The sequence below is a fragment of the Homo sapiens genome, chromosome 13, assembly GCF_000001405.40.
Source record: "Homo sapiens chromosome 13, GRCh38.p14 Primary Assembly".
NCBI lineage: Eukaryota > Metazoa > Chordata > Mammalia > Primates > Hominidae > Homo > Homo sapiens.
Genome location: NC_000013.11, coordinates 35,303,472 through 35,327,985, shown reverse-complemented (window position 1 = coordinate 35,327,985; position 24,514 = coordinate 35,303,472). Strand labels below are relative to the sequence as shown.

The 24,514-nt window shown below is 35.9% G+C and overlaps 1 protein-coding gene across 13 annotated transcripts in view; it reads right to left on the bottom strand.

Moving 5' to 3' along the window:
- Positions 1-24,514, bottom strand: part of NBEA (neurobeachin) — a 730,467-nt gene that overhangs the window by 344,751 nt on the left and 361,202 nt on the right. For all 13 annotated transcript variants that reach the window (XM_047430271.1, NM_001385012.1, XM_006719803.4 and 10 more), the window contains one exon: positions 18,394-18,458. In XM_047430271.1, coding sequence (XP_047286227.1) covers positions 18,394-18,458 — 65 coding nt within the window. The remainder of the gene's footprint in view (positions 1-18,393; positions 18,459-24,514) is intronic.

Here is a 24,514-nt window from a genome sequence, read left to right as displayed (position 1 = left end):
ATATGTTTTTTGCAGATGCCACTCATATTGAGGGAGTTCAACTTAATTTGTAGTTTGCTGAGAGTTTTTTTTTTATATATCAGGAATAGATGCTGACTTTTTCAAATGCTTTTCCTACATCTATGACAATGATCGTATATTTTTCTCTTTTGCAGTCTGTTGATGTGGAATATTCATTGATATATATTCCTTTTAACAAATAATTTCAATTTTTATTTTAGATTCAGGGGATGCAGGATCGTTACCTGGGTATATTGCATGATGTTGAGGTTTGGGGTACAATAGATCCCATCACCCTGGTAGTGAGAATGCCCAACAGATAGTCTTTAAGCCCTTGTCTCCTGCTCTCTCTCCCTCCTCAAGTAGTACCTAGTGTCTATTGTTGCCATCTTTATGTCCACATTTATCCAACGTTTAGCTCACACTTATAAGTAAGAACATGTGGTACTTTGTTTTCTGTTCCAACTTTAATTTGCATAGGATAATGGCATCTAGCTACATCGATATTGCTGCAAAGAACGTGATTTAATTCCTCTTTATGGCTGCATAGTATTCCATGGTGTGTACATACCACATTTTCTTTATCCAATCCACCACTGATGGGCACCTAGGTTGATTCTATGTCTTTGCCATTGTGAATAGTGCTGCGATGAACATACGTGTACATGTGTTTTCTTGGTAGAACAATTTATTTTCTTTTGGATATATACCCAGTAATGGGATTGCTGGGTCAAATGGTAGCTCTGTTTTAAGCTTTTTAAGAAATCTCCAAACTGCTTTCCACAGTGGCTGAACTACTTTACATTTCCATCAACAGTGTATAAGCATTCCCTTTTCTCCACAGCCTCTCCAGCACCTGCTGCTTTTTTATTTTATAATATCCATTACTCATGGGTGTGAAATGGTATATCATTGTGGTTTTGATTTGCATTTTTCTGATGATTAGTGATGTTGAACATTTTTTCATGTTTGTTGCTGCTTGTATGTCTTCTTTTTGTATGTTTGTTCATGTATCTTGCCCATTTTTAAATTGGGCTATTTGTTTTTTATTGTTGATTTGTTTAAGTTCTTTATAGATTCCGGATATTAGTCCTTGGATGCATGGTTTGTGAATATTTTCTCCCATTCTGTAGGTTTTCTGTTTACTTTGTTGACAGTTACTTTCACTGTGCTGGAGCTCTTAGTTTAACCTTGTCCCACTTGTCAATTTTTGTTTTTGTTGTAATTGCTTTTGAGGACTTACTGAATGGGAATAATTCCACTTGAGAACTGGAACGGGACATGAATGCTCACTCTTAACATTCCCATCCCACATAGTACTGGAAGTTGTAGCCAGAGCAATCAGGCAAGATAATGAAATAAAAGGCACCAAAATAGAAAAAGAAGAAGCCTAACTATCATACCATTACTGACAATATGAATCTATACTAGAAAACCCTAAAGACTCTGCCAAAAGGCTCCTGGAACTAATAAACAATGTCAGTAAAGTTTCAGGATACCAAATCAATATATAAAAATCAGTAGCATTTCTACACACCAATAACATTCAAGTTTTGAGCCAAATAAAAAATGCAATCCCATTTATAATAGTTCCCCTTTCCCTCCCAAAAATATCTAGGAATACATCTAATTTGGTGAAAAATCTCTACAAGGATAACAATAAACCACTGCTGAAAGAAATCATAGATGACACAAACAAATGGAAACACATCCAATGTTCATGGATTGGGAGAATGAATATCATTAAAATAGCCATACTACAGATTCAACACTATTCCTATCAAACTACCAATGTCATTTTTTCACAGATTTAGAAAAACTTATTCTGAAATTCATATGGAACTAAAAGAGAGCCTGAACAGCCAAAGCAACCCTAAGCAAGAAGAACAAAGCCAAAGGCATCATTACACAACTTCAAACTATAAGTCAACAGTAACCAAAACAGCATGGTGTTGTTGGTACAACACACATACAAACCAATGGAAGGGGATAAAAAACCCAGAGATAAAGCTGTACACCTACAGGCATCTGACTGTCAACAAAGTTGACAACAATAAGCAATGGAGAAAGGACTCCTTATTCAATAAATGGTGCTAGGATAGCTACCTAGCCAAATAGAGAAAGTTGAAACTGAACCCCTACCTTTCACCATATATAAAAATTAACTAAAGAAAGATTAAAAATTTAAATTATATCTAATCTCAAAATGTAAGAATCCTAGGAGAAAACACAGGAAATACCTTTCTAGACATTAGCTTTGGGAAAAAATTTATGATAAATCGTCTTGAATGTTATATACACTTTGCATTTTGGAGAATCATTACCTTTTTCATGATATAATCCTTTTCATATATTGCTAGATTTGATTTGCCAAACCTTGTTAAAAATTATTGCACCTATGCTTATGATGGATATGAGTCTGTAATTTCATTTCTTGTTATGTCTTTTTCTGGCGTTGGTATCAGTATTACGATATCTCATAAAAGGAACTATAAAGCATTACCTCCTCTTCTATTTCTGGAAGACTTTCAGTATATTGGTATTATTTATTCTTTAAATAATAATGTTTCATCCCCATTTACCCTGATGTGATTATTATGCATTGTATCCCTGTATCAAAACATCTTATATATCTTGTATACATACAATTATGTACCCACAAAAATTAAAAATTTTAAAAAACTAAAAAGAAATATTTATTGTTTAACATCAACCCAGTTCTTTAGTAAGTTAAGTCCATTGTTTTTCTTATACTGGTCTATGAATACGGAAATCTAGACTTTGGTATAATCGATTGTTTTGAAGTCTGCTTTATGAGTAATTCTTTTAAAAAAGAAAAATATGTAAAATTTTCATACTCTTTCTGATATAGAGATTAATGTTATAAAACCCGATCAGCATTAAGAATTAAGCAAATTACTGGTTAGCACTAAAAAATCAGGAAAACTTTGACTATTTAAATAATATAAACTTCAAAGACAGATTTTATCTTTTCCAACTAAAATTAGGACCACATTTGCTTCATTAGATAATGAAACTCAAAAGGTATTTTCTGTTGTTCTAAATTTTAATTTTCACCAAAAAAGCCAGGGATGATTTTTTGTTTGTTTGTTTGGATTCCACACATTGTGCTTATATTGCTTAGGTCCTCTCTCTCAAAAGAAACCTTCTGCAATCATTATTGCCCAATGAAATAGCTCCTTCTAAAGTCCCTGACATTTTTATATCATTTAGCTTGAAAACAGTCATATATTGACTATAATATTTTGGAACTGTTTAATTTTTTTCTGCACATAAATCCTAACCTCTCAATTATGAGTTACTCGTAGATGAGGAATATGTGCAAAATGTATTTATGTCCCTGCTAAAACTAACTACATAATGAGTGTTTTCTAAGTATTTATTCAGGTTTTGTTTTTTAAGATACATTGTAATTAATAAGTGCTAAGAACTTCAGGAATACATGTCCATGTATTATATTACCTTTGTAATTAAAAAACAGTAACAATAAGTTTTTCTTAATCCTTGTTTGGCTGGGACTGGATCTTTATAAGAGACATGTTATAGAAGAAATATTCTGGTTTTTCAAATATTGATCTGTACAACAGGACATGAGGAATATAAATCAGTTACGTGTTCTTATTTTACCAACATATGAACTAATCAGTCCATGTAACTCAATATTCTAATTCTCCTGGCATTTTGGGACTCTTGCATAGGCTAAAATCTATGACACAGGTCATGCCTGTATTCTTGTCCTATCTGTCCTGCTCATCTTATCTCCTCACTTCTCACCTTTGGTGTATCCTTTGGCTACGTGCACAACATCTATACCTTCCTGTTAGTGTAGCCCCTGTTAATTCACTTCTACCTGCATCCATTATGTCACAATACACCAGCCACAAATGCAAAGGCCAACTCTAGGCTCCTCTATTGCCAAGTTGATCTTACCTATCAGAATGGTATGGAAATTAAATAAAAGTTTTCTAATAAAGGCACAGATTATGTACATCTTGACTGGCTTTTGTATGCAATGAGTAAACCAAGAACAAAAAAAATATGATATGTGTCTCTAAGAAATAAGAAATGGAAAAATATGGCATAGAAATGAATACACCAAAATAGGTAACTTTCTCATTGATTCACTTTTAAATTGTTATGTTTCTTAATGTAATAAGGAGAAAAGTATATTTAAACTTGTGCTCAGAAGAGAAAAAATAATATGTGTACATAAGTAGATATATTTTATTTTATTTATTTATTTATTTATTATTATACTTTAAGTTTTAGGGTACATGTGCACAATGTGCAGGTTAGTTACATATGTATACATGTGCCATGTTGGTGTGCTGCACCCACTAACTCGTCATCTAGCATTAGGTATATCTCCCAATGCTATCCCTCCCCCTCCCCCCACCCCACAACAGGCCCCAGAGTGTGATGTTCCCCTTCCTGTGTCCATGTGTTCTCATTGTTCAATTCCTACCTATGAGTGAGAATATGTGGTGTTTGGTTTTTTGTTCTTGCGATAGTTTACTAAGAATGATGATTTCCAATTTCATCCATGTCCCTACAAAGGACATGAACTCATCATTTTTTTATGGCTGCATAGTATTCCATGGTGTATAAGTGCCACATTTTCTTAATCCAGTCTATCATTGTTGGACATTTGGGTTGGTTCCAAGTCTTTGCTATTGTGAATAATGCCGCAGTAAACATACGTGTGCATGTGTCTTTATAGCAGCATGATTTATAGTCCTTTGGGTATATACCCAGTAATGGGATGGCTGGGTCAAATTGTAGATATATTTTAAACATGGTTAAAAATGTGATTTAGGCTGGGCATGGTGGCTTATGCGTGTAATCCCAGCACTTTGGGAGGCTGAGGCAGGTGGATCACTTAATTTCAGGAGTTCGAGACCAGACTGGGCAACATGGCAGAACCCCATCTCTACAAAAAATACAAAATGCAGCTGGGCATGGTGGCTCGTGCCTATAGTCCCAGCTACTTGGGAGGCTGAGTTGGGAGGATTGCTTGAGCCTTGGAAATGGAGGTTGCAGTGAGCCGAGATCATGCCACTGCACTCCAACCTGGATGACAGAGTGAGACCCTGTCTCAAAAAACAAAATATAATTCAAATACAATTTATGATCACAAATTTTGAAATATATTTCCTTATTACTTAAAATCTAACCATTATTAAATGGGACTTTAGTTTTAGATAAATAACATTTTATTTATCATCAATGTCTAAGGTTATATGTATAAATAAGAAATACTATTTAAGATGTATGCAGGTAATTTTGTAAAAGTCATGTTTCACGTATGAAACTCAGTATGTTTATTAACTAATTAGATGTATAAAGTGAATAAAAGAGTGGCAAAAAAGGAGCATGGGGCGTTGGCTGGCCATCTTGCCGAATAAGAACAGCTCCAGTCTGCAGCTCCTAGCGAGATAAACCCAGAAGGCGGTTGATTTCTGCATTTCCAACTGAGGTACCCAGCTCATCTCATTGGGATGACTAGGCAGTGGGTGATTGGACTGGTTAGACTGTGGGTGCAGTCCACGGTGGGTGAGCTGAAGCAGGGTGGGGCATCGCCTCACCTGGGAAGCACAAGGGGTCAGGGAACTCCCTACCCTAGCCAAGGGAAGCCGTGAGGGACTGTGCCATGGGGAACGGTGGACTCCGGCCCAGATACTACACTTTTCCCACAGTGTTTGCAACCCACAGACCAGGAGATTTTCTTGGGTGCCTACATCACCAGGGCCCTGGGTTTCAAGCACAAAACTGGACAGCCGTTTGGGCAGACACTGAGCTAGCTGCAGGAGTTTTTTTTTCACATCCCAGTGGTGCCTGGAATGCCAGCGAGACAGAACCGTTCACTCCCCTGCAAAGGGGGCTGAAGCCAGGAAGCCAGGTGGTCTAGCTCATCAGATCCCACCCCAACAGAGCTCAGCAAGCTAAGATCCACTGGCTTGAAATTCTCGCTGCCAGCACAGCAGTCTGAAGTCAACCTGGGACCCTCTAGCTTGGTGGAGGGAGGGGTGTCCACCATTACTGAGGCTTGAGTAGGTGGTTTTCCCTGCATAGTGTAAACAAAGCCACCGGGAAGTTTCAACTGGGCGGAGCCCTCCGCAGCTCAGCAAAGCCACTGTAGCCAGACTGCCTCTCTAGATTCTTCATCTCTGGGCAGAGTATCTCTGAAAGAAAGGCAGCAGCCCCAGTCAGGAGCTTATAGATAAAACTCCCATCTTCCTGGGACAGAGCACCTGGGGGAAGGGGCGGCTGTGGGTGCAGCTTCAGCAGACTTAAATGTTCCTGCCCACTGGCTCTGAAAAGAGCAGCAGATCTCCAAGCACAGTGCTCCAGCTCTGCTAAGGGACAGAGTGCCTCCTCATGTGGGTCCCTGACCACAGTGCTTCCTGACTGAAGGAAACACCTCCCAGCAGGGGTCAAGAGACACCTCATACAGGAGAGCTCCAGCTGGCATATGGCAGGTGCCACTCTGGGAAAAAGCTTCCAGAGGAAGGAACAGGCAGTAATCTTTGCTGTTCTGCAGCCTCTGCTGGTGATACCCAGGCAAACAGGGACTGGAGTGGACCTCCAGCAAACTCCAGCAGACCCACAGCAGAGAAGTCTGACTCTTAGAAGGAAAACTAACAAACAGAAAGGAATAGCATCCACATCAACAAAAAGGACGCCCACTCAAAAACCTCAACTGAAGGTCAACAACATTAAAGACCAAAGGTAGATAAATCCACGAAGATGAGGAAAAACCAGCTGAAAAAGGCTGAAAATTCCAAAAACCAGAATGCCTCTTCTCCAAAGGATCACAACTCCTCGCCAGCAGGGGAACGAAACTGGATGGAGAATGAGTTTGACAAATTGACAGAAGCAGGCTTCAGAAGGTGGGCAATAACAAACTCCTCCAAGCTAAAGCAGCATTTTCTAACCCAGTGCAAGGAAGCTAAGAATCTCGAAAAAAACGTTGGAGGAATTGCTAACTAGAATAACCGGTTTAGGGAAGAACACAAATGACCTGACACAGCTGAAAAACACAACACGAGAACTTCATGAAGCATACACAAGTATCAATAGCCGAATACATCAAGCAGAAGGATATGAGAGATTGAAGATCAACTTAATGAAATAAAGTGTGAAGACAAGATTAGAGAAAAAGAATTAAAAGCAGTGAACAAAGCCTCCAAGAAATGTGGGACCATGTGAAAAGACCAAACCTACGTTTGACTGGTGTACCTGAAAGTGATGGGGAAAACGGAACCAAGTTAGAAAACACTCTTCAGGATATTATCCAGGAGAACTTCCCCAACCTAGCAAGACAGGCCAATATTCAAATTCAGGAAATACAGAGAACATCACAAAGATACTCCTCGAGAAGAGCAACCCCAAGACACATAAACTTCAGATTCACCAAGGTTGAAATGAAGGAAAAAATGTTAAGGGCAGCCAGGGAGAAAGGTCAGGTTACCCCAAGGGGAACCCCATCAGACTAACAGCGGATCTCTCAGCAGAAACCCTACAAGCCAGAAGAGAGTGGAGGCAAATATTCAACATTCTTAAAGTAAAGAATTTTCAACTCAGAATTTCATATCCAGTCGAACTCAGCTTCATAAGCAAAGGAGAAATAAAATCCTTTACAGAAAAGCAAATGCTGAGAGATTTTGTCACCACCAGGTCTGCCTTGCAAGAGCTCCCGAAGGAAACAGTAAATATGGAAAAGAAAAACTGGTACCAGCCACTGCAAAAAATATACCAAATTGTAAAGTCCATCGACACTATGAAGAAACAGCATCAACTAATGGGCAAATTAACCAGCTAGCGTCATAATGACAGGATCAAATTCACACATAACAATATTAACCTTAAATGTTAAATGGGCTAAATGCCCCAATTAAAAGACACAGACTGGCAAAGTTGATAAAGAGTCACGACCCATCAGTGTGCTGTACTCAGGAGACCCATCATACGTGCAAAGTCACATATAGACTCAAAATAAAGGGATGGGGGATTATTTACCAAGCAAATGGAAAGCAAAAAAAAAAGCAGAGGTTGCAATCGTAGTCCCTGATAAAACAGACTTCAAGCCAACAAAGATCAAAACAGACAAAGAAGGGAATTATGTAATGGTAAAGGGATCAATGCAACAAGAAAAGCTAACTATCCTAAACATATATGCACCCAATACAGGAGCACCCAGATTCATAAAGCAAGTTCTTAGAGACTTACAAAGAGACTTAGACTCCTACGCAATAATAGTGGGAGACTTTAACACCCCACTGTCAATATTAGACATATCAACGAGAGAAAATTAACAAGGATGTTCAGGACTTAAATTCAGCTCTGGACCAAGTGGACCTAATAGACATCTACAGAACTCTCCAACCCAAATGAATAGAATATATATTTTTCTCAGCACCACACTGCACTTATTCTAAAATTGGCTGCATAATTGGAAGTAAAATACTCCTCAGCCAATGCAAAAGAATGGATATCATAACAGTCTCTCAGACCACAGTGCAATCAAATTAGAACTCAGGATTAAGAAACTCACTTAAAACCACACAACTACATGGAAACTGAAAAACCTGCTCCTGAATGACTACCAGGTAAATAACGAAATGAAGGCTGAAATAAATAATTCTTTGAAACCAATGAGAACAAAGACACAATGTACCAGAATCTCTGGGACACAGCTAAAGCAGTGTTTAGAGGGAAATTTATAGCACTAAATGCCCACAATGGAAAGCGGGAAAGATCTAAAATCAATGCCCTAACATCACAATTGAAAGAACTAAAGAAGCAAAAGCAAATTCAAAAGCTAGCAGAAGACAAGAAATAAATAAGATCAGAGCAGAACTGTAGGAGATAGAGACACAAAAAACCCTTCAAAAAAATCAATGAATCCAGGAGCTGGTTTTTGAAAAGATTAACAAAATAGACAGACCTCTAGCCAGAATAATAAAAAAGAAAACAGAGAAGAATCAAATAGACACAGTAAAAAATGATAAAGAGGATATCACACTGATCCCACAGAAATACGAACTACCATCAGAGAATACTATAAACACCTCTATGCAAATAAACTAGAAAATCTAGAAGAAATGGATAAATTCCTGGACACATACACCCTCCCAAGACTAAACCAGGAAGAAGTCGAATCCCTGAATAGACCAATAACAAGTTCTGAAATTGAAGCCGTAATAGCCTACCAACAACAACAAAAAAAGCCCAGGACCAGACGGATTCATAGCCGAATTCTACCAGAGGTACAAAGAGGAGCTGGTACCATTCCTTCTGAAACTATTCCAAACAGTAGAAAAAGAGGGACTCCTCCCTAACTCATTTTATGAGGCCAACATCATCCTGATACCAAAACCTGGCAGAGACACAACAAAATAAGAAAATTTCAGGCCAATATCCCTGATGAACACCAATGCAAAAATCCTCAATAACATACTGGCAAACGGAATCCAACAGCACATCAAAAAGCTTATCCACCACGATCAAGTTGGCTTCATCTCTGGGATGCAACGCCGGTTCAACACATGCAAATCAATAAATGTAATCCATTACATAAACAGAAACAATGACAAAAACCACATGATTATCTCAATAGATGTCAAAAAGACCTTTGATAAAATTCAACACCCCTTCAAGCAAAAAACTCTCAACAAACTAGGTATTGATGGAATGTATCTCAAAATAATAAGAGCTATTTATGACAAACCCACAGCCAATATCATACCGAATGGGCAAAAACTGGAAGCATTTCCTTTGAAAACCAGCACAAGACAAGGATGCCCTCTCTCACCACTCCTCTTCAACATAGTATCAGAAGTTCTGGCCAGGGCAATCAGGCAAGAGAAAGAAATAAAGCGTATTCAAATAGGAAGAGAGAAAGTCAAATCGTTTCTATTTGCAGATGACATGATTATATATTTAGAAAACTCCATCGTCTCAGCCCCAAATCTCCTTAAGCTGATAAGCAACTTCAGCAAAGTCTCAGGATACAAAATCAATGTGCAAAAATCTCAAGCATTCCTATACACCAGTAATAGACAAACAGAGAGCCAAATCATGAGTGAACTCCCATTCACCACTGCTACTAAGATAATACCTAGGAATACAACTCACAAGGGATGTGAAGGACCTCTTCAAGGAGAACTATAAACCACTGCTCAAGGAAATAAGAGAGAACAGAAACAAATGGAAAGACACTCCATGCTCATGGATAGGAAGAATCAATATTGTGAAAATGGCCATATTGCCCAAAGTAATTTATAGATTCAGTGCTATCCCCATCAAGCTACCACTAACTTTCTTCACATAATTAGAAAAAACTACTTTCAATTTAATATGGAACCAAAAAAGAGCCCGTATAGCCAAGACAATCCTAAGCAAAAAGAACAATGCTGGAGGCATCATGCTACCTGACTTCAAACTATACTACAAGGCTACAGTAACCAAAACAGCATGGTACTGGTACCAAAACAGATATATGGACCAACGGAATAGAACAGAGGCCTCAGAAATAATGCCACACATCTACAACTATCTGATCTTTGACAAACCTGTCAAAAATCAAGCAATGGGGAAAGGATTCCCCATTTAATAAATGGTGCTGGGAAAACTGGCTAGCCAGAGGCAGAAAACTATAACTGGACCCCTTCCTTACACCTTATACAAAAATTAACTCAAGATGGATTAAAGACTTAAACGTAAAACCATAAAAACCCTAGAAGAAAACCTAGGCAATGCCTTTCAGGACATAGGCATGGGCAAAGACTTCACGACTAAAACACCAAAAGCAATGGCAACAAAAGCCAAAATTGACAAATGGGATCTAAGGAAACTAATGAGCTTCTGCACAGCAAAAGAAACTATCATCACAGGGAACAGGCAACCTACAGCATGGGAGAAAATTTTTGCAATCTATCCATCTGACAAAGAGCTAATATCCAGAATCTACAAGGAACTTAAACAAATTTACAAGAAATAAAACAAAAAAACCCATCAAAAAGAGGGCGAAGGATATGAACAGATACTTCTCAAAGGATGTCATTTATGTGGTCAACAAGTATATGAAAAAAAACTCATCATCCCTCGTCATTAGAGAAATGCAAATCAAAATCACAATGAGATACCATCTCACACCATTTAGAATGGCAATCATTTAAAAGTCAGGAAACAACAGATCCTGGAGAGGATATGGAGAAATAGGAACGCTGTTACACTGTTGGTGGGAGTGTAAATTAGTTTGACCACTGTGGAAGACAGTGTGGCAATTCCTCTAGGATCTAGAACCAGAAATACCATTTGACCCAGCAATCCCATTACTGGGTATATACCCAAAGGATTATAAATCATTCTACTATAAACACACATGCACACATATGTTTACTGCAGCACTGTTGACAATAGCAAAGACTTGGAACTAACCTAAATGCCCATCAATGATAGACTGTATAAAGAAAATGTGGCATATATACACCATGGAATACTATGCAGCCATAAAGTAAAGATGAGTTCATGTCCTTTGCAGGGACATGGATGAAGCTGGGAACCATCATTCTCAGCAAACTAACACAGGAACAGAAAACCAAACACTGCATGTTCTCACTCATAAGTGGGAGGTGACAATGAGAACACATGGACTCAGGGAGGGGAACATCACACACTGGGGCCTGTTGGGGGGTGGAGGACTAGGGGAGGGATAGCATTAGGAGAAATACCTAATGTGGATGACGGGTAGATGGGTGCAGTAAACCACCATGACACGTGTATACCTATGTAACAAACCTGCATGTTCTGCCCATGTATCTAGAACTTAAAGTATAATATTAGAAAATAATAATAATTAAAAAAGAATGTTAAAGAAAACCTGGCATAGGTCAGATTTTATAAGAAAACACATGGAAAAGAAACTTCTGTTTTCCAGTAGCTTCCAGAGATTATTGGCTCCAAATTAAACCAGAATATCTACTTTAGGAAATAGTTTCTTATTTTACAGATTTGGAAGTTTTTTTTGGTTTGTTTTATTTTTAAATACAGTTTTTGCCAAATCAAAGACATAAGAGAAATAAACTCAAGCAAACCAATGCTTGTTGGTTAAAATATTAACTAGCATTTGTTAAATTAAAGAATACATTCAAATTGGTGCCATACAATCACTAAAAAATTATACTTGGATGCAATATGCTTCTCCTCTTAAAAACCTAAGAAATGCATGGTGTATATTTTCCCCTATTCTAAAGGACAAAACAAAAAATCAGAATCTTGAGAGCTCTAGCTTAAATTCAGTGCTAAACATAAATATTATCTGTTCTTTTCTGATGAATATTCAAAAATTAAATTCTATATTCTTTTAAAAGAGTGACAAAGGTTTATTTCAGGCAAATGATTAATTTATTTAAAAAGATCACTCAAATTCTGTATTTTAAATAAGTACTTCCTATTTGCCTTATTCTTCAATGCATATTTTAATAATTCAAATTCCAATCATTATTGCCAAGATATTACAGGCAATTTTACATCCCATTAACCTTGCTTTGTTTTAATTATAAAGATCCTTTGTTAGATTCCTTTAAATGATCCAGTGTATAATTTCAGCCGGTCCCAGGGAGTACTTTAATTCAGATGCACATTTATCAACTGTTTTTGTCCTGTTAATTGTAGACAACTGCACAATTGCTTTCTCCAGCTATGATTGATGAATTGTATTCAAAAGTGTAGCTGTTAAGTAGGATAAACATTTATAATAATTTCTACTTAAAGATTTTTATCTTCATTCCCATAAGGACAAATTAAAGACTGATATTCTAACAACCCAAATAAAGTGAATTTTTAAATATTTCATATTAAGCCATATGAAAAAGTTGTAAAAATGTTATATGTGCATGCAAATGGGATAAAAGCATGTATAAAATATTTAATTTGTGCTTCGCACATAATGGGCATCAACATACAGTAGGAAGATAAACAGAGTAATAGTAATTTTGGGCTTTTTACTGGAACTGCATCCCAGCTACCTAAAGATGACTTTTTGAACCAGAAGTCCCAGTTCATGCTTGTGAAAGAGAAAAGTCTAAATTGAAAGAAATGATCCAAACTAAAGGTGGGAATAAGCAAAATTCTGAATACATATTATATGTAATAACAAAAGTAAAAACTTCCATTTTAAGGACTTATAGCAGCTGTAATAAATATCATATATATTATTTTGAACTTTCAGGGAAACTGAGCAAGAAAGGTGCTACAGTATTCTACAGATGAGAAACAATGTCAGAGGAAGATTATGATTTGCCTGTTGTCTAACAGCTTATCAATGGGAGAACTGATATTTGAACTCAGTAGAATTAACATATGGATACTATGTATTATACTATGCATTGTGGAACAGCCATAAAAAATCCACTACAAATAAACACTATAGATAGGTAAATATAAATCAGGGAAAAATTGAGGTACTGGGAGAACAGAGAAAGGTACCTAATCCAGATTAGGGGTAGGAAGGGGTTGGTCCTCAGTGAAAAGATTATTTTCACTAAAGTAAGAGAAGTCAATGTCTTAAAGCAAATGCCTATCTTCTCTGAACTGCGAACTGCTGAAGAAAACATTACACTATCAAAGACAGCAACCTCAATTGGCTCCCCCAAATTGCCTGGCAAGCCTCTCAGGTTTCTTTAGTTTTTTCTCTTCTCCATTCTTTTACAATCGCTATTTTCAGTATTCTTTACTTTTCTAAAGATAGTATATACCCTCTCCCAATTCCTTTTATTCTCAGCAAATGACCTTACCTGCCACTTCATAGACAGAAGGCATCATATGAAATCTCTTCTGAATTCTGCCACCAATTTAATTGTCTTCACCCTTTCTCAGTGCTCTTCCACTAAAGGCCAATCCTTCTATCTCAATGCACCCCTCTCAGAGAGTTTATGCTGTCAATATTGCCTTCTTTCCCTCCCACCATATTGCGTTTTTCCATCAAAATTGAAAAATAGGTTCTTCATTCTAAAAAGTAACCCCTCTCTCCAAATTTAAACCTTATTCACCTACAGCAACCACTCTATCTTTCCCTTTCTTGGCCAAATTTCTTTAGCGAAGTACTTGCTGTCTGTATTTCATTTTGGGCTAGCTCTTCAACTCAAAGCAACCTGGCTTCTGTCCCTCTACTCTAGGTAAATCATCACTTTTTCAAAAAATACCTCTCTCAGTTGCCTGCTCCCATAGCATCCTCTAGTTGTCCTTCACATATTTATTAAACTTGCAATTACTTAATCTAAGGCTGTTGCCCACACTAGACTGTAAACTCTAATAGGGTAGGATTTGGATCTACACCCAGCTTCTTTAGCACACAGGTGTTCACCAGCATTAAGTTTGGATGAGATCATCATGACCTCCTTGTGGCTGAACCCAGTGGTCCCTTTAGTACTAACTTAAAAATCCTCTTTTTGACCATACATTCTTCCTTAAACATTCCACTCACCATTCTTTTCTTTATGCTTTCAATAAATATTCATTTAACAGGGCAAATAAATAGATATTTCATTAGCATGCTAACTACATGCTAGGCACTATTCCAGAATATAGAGATATAGCAGCAAATAAGACGATGAATAAGACACAAGATCTTAAGGAAAACACATTTTAGCAGGAGAAATAGATGTAAACAAGCAAACAGAGCAGATCATTTGAGATGATGTTATTATGTGTTACAAGAGGATTATGTCATGGGAGTGTAACAACTATATAAGATAGTCAGGGGAGCCTCTGTGAGAGGGTGGCATTTAAGCTGATTCCTCAAAGTCGAGAAACAACCAGTCGTGTCAAGATGTGGGAGAAGAGGATTCCCAGCAGAAACAGGAGTAAAAGCAGGGCCTCTGGTTCTCCACTCACTCTATTCACTCTCTCTGAGCATCACATCTGAATCCTTTCTACAGTTTACCACGAATAACCTGGAGACTCATAAGTCTAAATCTCCATGCCAGCTCTCTCTTTGGAGAGCTCAATACTCAAATGCCCATGCCTATTGAACATCTCCACCTGGATATTTCACTGGTACCACAAGTTCAGTGTAACCCAAAAGTGAAAAACTCTCAACTCAAACCTCGCTTTCTGTACTCTCCTAGCCAAGTGAATTATACTTATACTGTAAACTATTAGTTACTAAAGCTGACATCAAAATATCCTTGATTCCTTCTTTCCCCTCTTCCATCCAATATATTAGCAATCATAGTGACTTAATTTCCAAAAGATACTTCAAATTTGTTCACTTCTTCCATCCTCATAGCTACTATTAGTCCATGACACCATATTCTTCAACAAGATTACTGAACCTCAGATTGGTATTGCTTCAAGTCTTGAGCCCGTGAAACCCTCCACATTGCAGGCCACACCTAAACATTTTCAGTTATTCTCCAGTATTCTTTGCACAGTTTCATGGCATGACCTTTGCCAATGACCTGTGCCTCCATGTGGCTGGCATACAACATGCATTTAAATAGCTGCTGGCTGACTGGAAATAGCTCTCCAGTAACATGTCTCACTATTCTCTTGCCGCTAGTCCTCTGCACTATACAATTCCCTCTGCCAATAATTGTATTTCTACTTTTTTTTCTCACTTGGCTGTCTCCTAATGATCTCTCAAATGGCATTCCTTTGGGTAAGTACTCTTTTGAAAACCTTGATAATCCCACCACTCAGTGGAATGCATCCCTCCAGACTAGGTAAATTATTCTGTGGTACGATTGCATCATTACCTATACCTCTTTTATCACAGTATCCTTGTATTACTGTATGTGTTCATCTAATGTTTGCCTTTCCCCAAGAAACTGGAATCATTTATATCTTATTCCTAACTCTATTCCTAACTCTTATAGCAGTATTTGACATGTAGTGGGTGTTGAACAGACATTTGCTGCACTCATGCATACATGATTTGTTCTTATATATTTACAGCTATTCATGTTTGAATCCTTATTCCAAAATCATATTTATTTGGAAGAACGAGTCCTATGAAGAGTAGAAACAGAAACTTAGGAGAGCACAGAGAACATAATGGACAGAATTTCAGAGATTATTATAGGTTGAATTTTTTTTTTTGGTGGGGGGACGAAGTCTCGCTCTCATCGCCCAGGCTGAAGTGCAATGGCACGATCTTGGCTCACTGCAACCTCCACCTCCCGGGCTCAAGTGATTCTCCTGCCTCAGCCTCCTGAGTGGCTGGGATTACGGGCACCTGCCACCACAACTGGCTAATTTTTGTATTTTTAGTAGAGATGGGGTTTCACCATGTTAGCCAGACCGGTCTCAAACTCCTGACCTCAGGTGATCCACCCAACTTGGCCTCCCAAAGTGCTGGGATTACAGGCGTGAGCCACTGCACCCAACCTAGATTGAAATTTTTTTTAAAATTGTGACTACTTTCTTTATTTCTAACCTTTCCTAATATAAAGCAAATCCCAAATTCTACCACTGACTGACAAAAGCATTATCAGAAGCTTAAAATCTCTGATATTAGCAAATTTTCCACCCCCTTCCTTTTCTAAGCCTATTACTATAATCTTAATTTAAGTGTTTAGAGGTTCAATTCTGATAACTCTTAGGAGAGTTACTGATAATAATAATTTTATATATATATATATTTTTACTTCGCAGTTGAAACAAAATAATTGTGGATATGTCATTGAGAGTTATTTCTAAAACTTAAATGACAATGATTAGCCTTAGCAAATAGTTTTTTCTGTTTATTCATCACCTGAAAACGGATAATAATTGTTAGTAACTCTTATCACAGTGAAACTCTGTAAGACATGGTGAGTGCTGTTATGTAAAACACTATTTGCGTTATAAAAGAAAACTGATATTTTCCTGCAACTTTGGTGTTGCAGTGAATGCAAAGCCTATTTTAAATTTTAGATCTGTACTACTGGCTAACATGATTAGGTCACAAAATATCAAAATGAGAAATATAAAATAAGATAAATTGTTATAAAAACAGAAGATATTTCTCAAAATATAATACAGTGATAAAAAATGAATACTAAGTGATATTTAATTTTTAAAAATTGGGTATCTATACCATATAGAAACTAATTTTCAAGGACTATTCTTTCATGACTCCCCTACTTGAAAAGATAAATTTTATATACAGTAAGCATTATTTCCTCATTAATCTAATGAAAGCTGGTTTCAAATATGAAATGAATAGGTCATGCCAAATAATCATCATATTCCAAAGAATGCACTATATCATACAAGAAATTCAAGTTGTAAAGTTTGCAGGTCTTGGGCTGATAGAAGCTATATATGTCACATGGTGACAGCTACGTCTGTTTTAATGTGTCCACTGCCAATAAAGCACTGCAAAAATAATAATTAACAACTATTTACCACAAAATGGTAAATAATGGGTTCAAATGTAATTTTACTTATTGTTTTAATAATAGAATATACAACCTTTGTGAGTCAGCCATGCCCGCAAAGCGTGCTGTGTTTTAGTCCTGGTAGGAATATTTATCAGAGTTCACACTATATAAAACCCAACAGCTTCAACTATTGCCCTTTCAACAGTTTTGCCACTGACCGGATAAAAACGGTTTCAGTCTTTGGATGGATGTGTTTGTGGTTTGTAACCATTACGGTTTAAACCATGGTTTAAGAATTTGCCCAAATAACAGAAATTTTGTTCAGGAAGGGATAAACTAGATATAGCATACAGAGCCTGTTTTTGAGTTTTAGATACTTTATTTGTAAATAACTTAAAATAGCTTTCTGAAACCGTGCATTCTGTAGTTTCTTCCTTTCAGTGAAATTGCTAAATGTCAATGTATTTTTGGCACTGCGATTTTAACCATTTATTAAATAAAAATTTTGTTAAAGAAAAAAAAAATAATAGAATATACAAATTTCTAACCGAGACAGATATATTTGCTATATTTAATATCCCTCACATTTTCAGTTGGACATTGAATGCATGACATGTTCAGATAAAACTGTTTCACATGGACTGAGGAGAAGCTGAAGGAGTAAACACTGAGCACTGCTCTGAAAACAGATGGAGTGGCAGATGGGATTGCAGATTGGGTTCACTTGATCTGTGTAAAACAACTTTACTACTCAGTAAAATGTACTTCAGATCTCACCAAACCTTATAAGGTTTGTCCCTTTATTTCATGCACGGCTTTTTCTTCAAAAATAAATGTTTAGCATTTTAAACTTTGTTAAAGATTAATTAAGTACCTGTGTGATAAATTATTTAACTAAAAGACATTTTCTTCTACATTTTTGGAACAGATGGTAGGAAAGAGCAATTGCCCAGTGGAATAAAATGTACACTGACTAGTTGTCTAAAATTGTAAAATTAATTACCTTCCTTCATTGATGAGCTCAATAAATGCAAGTCCTGCATTCTTCTGAATAGAGTTTTGCCATTCCTAAAAGGAGAAACCAAAACAAACGTGAGAAAAGTGAACACTTAATGAAAGTAACTTCTGGTTTAAGGATCATGTTGATATTGTTAATAACTTCCACATTATATTATTTCCAAATGTCTTTACAAGATTTTGTAATGAATATTATTTTGTAAAAAATCAAATTTTAGTTTTATCACTTAGTTTATAAGGTGCTTTTGATTCACCAGAAAATTTCAGGCTGGATGCAAACTGAGATGGAAAGTGAGACTGCAGGTATAAGGGGCTCTGAGCACAAAGCTTCTTTCCAAAAGACAGCAAATGACCAAAAGAGACCTAATGTGACTACACAAGGACTAGAAATATTTGGGATAGAAAACTTTAGCTCCTCATATAGAAATTTTACATTAAGATAATAAAATGAATACTAGAAATATAAACTCTTAGAAACATTAACATATTTAAATTGACTTGGAAGTGCAATGTTCTAGTTATATGTACATTCCAAATTACTTAATGCTAATTATTTAATGCTAATTAGAAAAAAGTTACAAATTAACTATTTTGAAAATTGTAAAAAAAAGTAGTAAACCTATGGCTAAATATGTAATAGATAACTATGTAATCTCTGCTAATTTAGATTATATTTGTGAATTTGGCAGTTCTCAAGGTAAGGCTCATCATTATGAACATAAGTGATTATAATGAAGTATTTTGGATTAGAAAAGCATATGCTTATTTTATGCTGTTCCTAAAGCACATTTAGAATATAATTTATATACTGTTTTTGGTTTATGCTAGTGATTTCTATTTTTGGGGTTTTAAATATATACATATTTTGGGGTTTTAAATATATATTTAAATATATATATTTGGGGTTAAATATATATATGGGGTTTTAAATACATATATATATCTGTGTGTGTGTGTGCATATATATATACATATATACATATATACATATATACATATATACATATATATACATATATACATATATACATATATATACATATATACATATATATACATATATACACATATATATATACACATATATATACACATATATATATACATATATATATATATATATATATATATATATATATAGTAAATAGCAGTGTTTTGGATTGAAAATTATATCCCTTCCAATGGTTCTATAACTAAATACTCCTCAAAGTTCCCTAATGCATTTTAATAGAAAAATCTTTATTGACCAGTCATGGCCCTCCTCTATAGATTTTTCCCCCTATGATTTTTCTAATAAGGTGTTGGTTGTACAGAGGTGATCAGCTGCCCTGGCCATGGGTTCAGCTTCACAAAAAACACAGTCTCTGTATCAACCCTTCATTCTACTCCTGATCCCTTTCCCTTTAAAGGCTTTACACTCATTCTGAAAATAAATATGGTCCCCCAAAGTAGGTACTTGTGTGTATATAAATATTCTCTGCTCTAAGTAAATGTGTGCTGAATTATAGAATAACAAATCCTGAATCTCCCAAGGAGAGAAAATCAACAACTAGTGAAAAGAGATATGGTAACTTGGGGATAGTACAAAGCCACTGGGTTCTAGCTATCATAATCTTTAACTAAAATTTATCCAAATGACAAGACTGCTATTCCATTGTACAGAACTTACTGAAACTTTCAAACAATTTCTGTATAAAACAATTACAGAAAATTTCTTTTCCCAAATGTTTACAAAATTTAAAGCCTCTTTGTTATTCTCATTCTATATTCTGTATTTATTGGAAATCAGGATCCTACAAAATACATACATTTCTCAGAAATACTTCATATTCATTGGGATATTAACTTAAAGAGAAAATTGATTTTTACATACGAAGACCCATGCCACTATGAAGACTAGATTCTTACAACTTCTTACACCTGATTTTCTGTGATAGTGTTTGTACACTAAGACTCTTTAGTCACCATAAACTTCTAACATGAATAAGATTTTTCGGTAAGATATTTCACAGAGTACATATCTAGGTATTACATGTGCATCCCAAAGTATGCCTTGTCTAAAAAAATCAAGAGAAAATTATCTTTGAATCAATCTAAAATTATATGGAATCTGCATACAGCCAATGAGATGTACTAATTTACAACCTTTGATGGAGGAACAGTAGAAGTAAGTCTGAGCTAAGCTAAGGACATTACAGTTTAAAGTTTGAGAAAGCCAATGAAAGTATATGATCACAAGACTTCATTCAATAAATCAGTGTTTTAGAAGAGTAATTTGTCAGTTTTGAGCCAGAGGAAATTGTAGGATATTGTTGTTACACGCCTTTCCACAAGAGAAATATTAGGAGTCTAAATGAGTATTTCAAATAGGGAATAAAAAATAAGAGATGTTACAAAGAAGAGATGCCGAGACTAGATGAGAATCTGAATTTAAGAGCTGATGTAGAGAAGTTGAGATAAAAAAATTATTAAGTTTTCAATGTACATGACCAGGATAATGGTAATATTATTATGAAAATACTGAAGAATACATTTGGGGAAAATCACAAACACTGTTGTCTGAATTTGTTGGATTTACAGTGGCAATGGTATATCAAAAAAGAATGTGAAATTCAGAATTATTTACATAGAAATATTGAGTAAGGCATAACATTGGGCAAAGTCTCCTAAGAAGTATAAACAAAACGAGGATCAAATATCTAGGCTGAGAAGGTATTCCTAGGCTGGAAAGGATTCACATTTTTAAGATTGCAAAAAGAGGCAATAGAAAGGGACAGAAAAAGATCTATCAAAATTTAAGAACAGAAGCAGAATATTATAGCATTATTTGAAAGAAAACACTCCACGTATATACATTGCCTCAGGAAAACAGAAAGAGAAAGGACCCTTTAATGACAAATATTACTTTCAAAGTCACTACCTATGATCCTGTTTGCAACCTTATATTAAAGACACAGACCAATATTAGAAAGGGATAATGGAGGTGGGGGTTGGAGGGAAGGGAATGAAACCCAAATAATGAGAGACAATGAAGCAACACCAAAAAAATGTAGTAATAAAACTGGGACATATGAAGATATTGTATACATTAAAAAAGAGTTGAAAATATCTCCCAGAAAATAGAACAAAGAGATAATGAGGTACAACCAAAAAGACAGAGATAGAAAACAAAGGAGACAAAGAAATTAGAGGATCTTCCTTTTAAAGGTCACTATCTAGTAAATAGGAATTTTAGAAAGAGTGAATGAGAAACATTGTATCAAGAAATTATCAAAGGAATTTCAAATATTTTCTAGGATTTAATTATATGATGAACAATATAATACATAATATAACCTAGCAAGTATATCATCATTAAATTTTAGAACACCAGGGTTAAGGAAGAGGCTTGCAGGAAAAAATAAAAGTTTATATAAAGAATCAGGAATCTGAATGAGATTAGACTTCTCAACAGCAAAACTAGAAGATGGAAGAAAGTAAATCTTCTGTCTATCCTGCTTTCTGCCTGTCCTGCTCACCTGTCCTGATGTATGTAGACATCAGATACTTTCATTTGATATACGAATTTAAAGTAACTTTAAGTTGAAATACCAATTTTTCAATATGAGAGTTTAACATCAGCCAGTTTCAAAATTATGAAGAATAGAATACTCAGAACAAACTATGCAGCCAAACTATCAGTAACATATGAAGATAGAATAATCACATTTTCACACATGCATAAAAATTTATCACTGACTCTTGTTCAAGAACCCACCGATGGTGTGCTCTGCCAAAATGAGAAAATATATCAAACAGGAGAAACAAGTTTATGTTGTGCTAGTCCCCGAATCTCAGGGGCTTAAAACATGAAAGTTTACTTCTTGCTCAAATTCTGTGTCCACTGTCTGTGTTCTGCTCTACATCATCATTGGCATCATCCTGGGAGTCATACTATGTTGCAATTGTCTGGAACACTGTTGGCAGCCAAGATGGAGGGAAAGAGAAGGGGTCTAAGCATGCCCCGGCTCTTGTAGCTTCTAGCCAGAAGTAACACATGTCCCTTTGCCCATATTCACTGGCCAGAGAAAGTCCTATGATGAAGCCCAATCTCACTGGAGGAGGGGAATGCAAACACACCAAAAGCGCTCAATAAGACGGAAAGAACTTGTGACAAACCCTAAACATACTATAAGAAAAGAACTTTAAAAAGAGATAGACCCATATCTAAGAAATGGTAGACTGAAACAAGACAGAGGCAATGAAAATTATCTAAATAATTGTTAATGGAAGTACCAAAACAGGATTAAGCAGAGGCTGACAGAATACTTAACATGCACTAGAGTTAGAGCAGGTTTTTAGTTCTACTGGAAAGTTTGGGGGAAATTTAGTAACAGGCATCCAGAAAACTTAGCCAACAAATAAAGAGCGAAGAGGCAATTCACTCTAAAAGAAAATAGTTATCTTAGGAAGGAAATGGTGGATAGTTTAGCTACAGATGATACTTACAAGAAACACTGACACACTTAAAACTGTGATATGGCTATAGTGGGGAAATGCTGAGAAAAGCAGAAACTTTCCCCCATATTTTTTAGTAGGTGGTAGTGGCCGCATTGTAAGAGTGACATGCTATATATAATAAATTTAAAAAATATTTAAAATTGAAAAACCAAGAACATTAGTATAACAGTGTTATTTCAAAAATATAGTTTACTAATAAAGTAAACAGATAAAAGAGTTGAAATAGTTGATTTCGACCAGTGGATCTCAGTGGTGGAGTAGGGGTCTGTTATTTGTTGGTTATGTGCCTTTAAAATACACACAGTAAATATAAAAAATTTTTAAAAACAATTTTTTTAGAACAGTGATAGTTTTACAGAACCATAAAGAGTTTCTGTGATGAATCAGGAGAGACTTGTACTGAAAGCAGGGTAACAGACTGTCAAAAAGGAAACAGTAACTTTATCAGCCTACAGAGAGAGATTCTGAACACAGAAGACTTATGAAAACATTCTGAATAAAAATGTATCACTGCAATTATATGTTTTCCCTTCAAGAACTGCTTTTGTCATACAAAAATTAGCCGGGTGTGGTGGTGAGCACCTATAATCCCAGCTACTCGGGAGGCTGAGGCAAGAGAATTGCTTGAATCAGGAGGCAGAGGTTGCAGTGAGCCAATACCGCGCCAATGCACTCCAGTCTGGGTGACAACCCAAGACTCCGTCACACACACACAGATATACACACACACACACACACACACACACAGAGAATTGCTTTTGTCAAGGCAATGTAATTCCTGAATTTGTTCAATGACAATATAATACTGTTGACCTGTATTTGTGTTCAACTCCTTTCTCAGAAGGCCTGAGTTGCTCTTTTTTTAGTTTTCTACCAAAAGAAGAGTCACTATTAGAGAGGAAGAGAGGGTGGCAGAAGTCTTCTTGTCGAAGAGAATATTAAACATTTTCTGACAGTAGGACTGTGTCACTTTCTCATTTTGATGGTGGGACTGTGTCACATTCTCATTTAATTTTGCAAGATTTTCCATATTTTTAAAATACAATCATTAGAAAACTATCACTATTTCATTTGTTTGCATGCCATTACATTGTCATTTTCGTATTTCAGGAAAGTCAGGTATGATGAGGACAAAAGACAGGCCCTAAATGCTGGGAGGAAAGTCATTGTACTGGGCTGGTAAGTGAGAAAGAGAAAGTGGTAACTAGAGTAAACAATCACAAAAAGCTTTGTGATTAAAGCCAAGAAACAATGGACAGGATGCTCAGAGAAAGATAGGTTTGAAAGTGTTTGTGAAGTTTTTATGATGAAGAGACTTGAATATAATTATGGACCATAATGAAAGGGTGAAGGAGAGACAGAAAGATTACAAGAGATGAAAGGTGACAGAAATCCTGATGAATGCATAAAAGAATGGAGTGTCCTGAAAAGGGATAAGAACAGTTAATTCTTCAGAAAAAGAGTAAAAAGTGTGAAGTTTTCCTGTACTTGTTTATGTATAAAATAGTCCATTTATTATTCATGAAGGCACCCAGACTTTAGTAACATGACTGTAAACTTTACTTCTTTCCCAGAAAACTGTAAACTCCTTGGTCTTATTTGTCTTG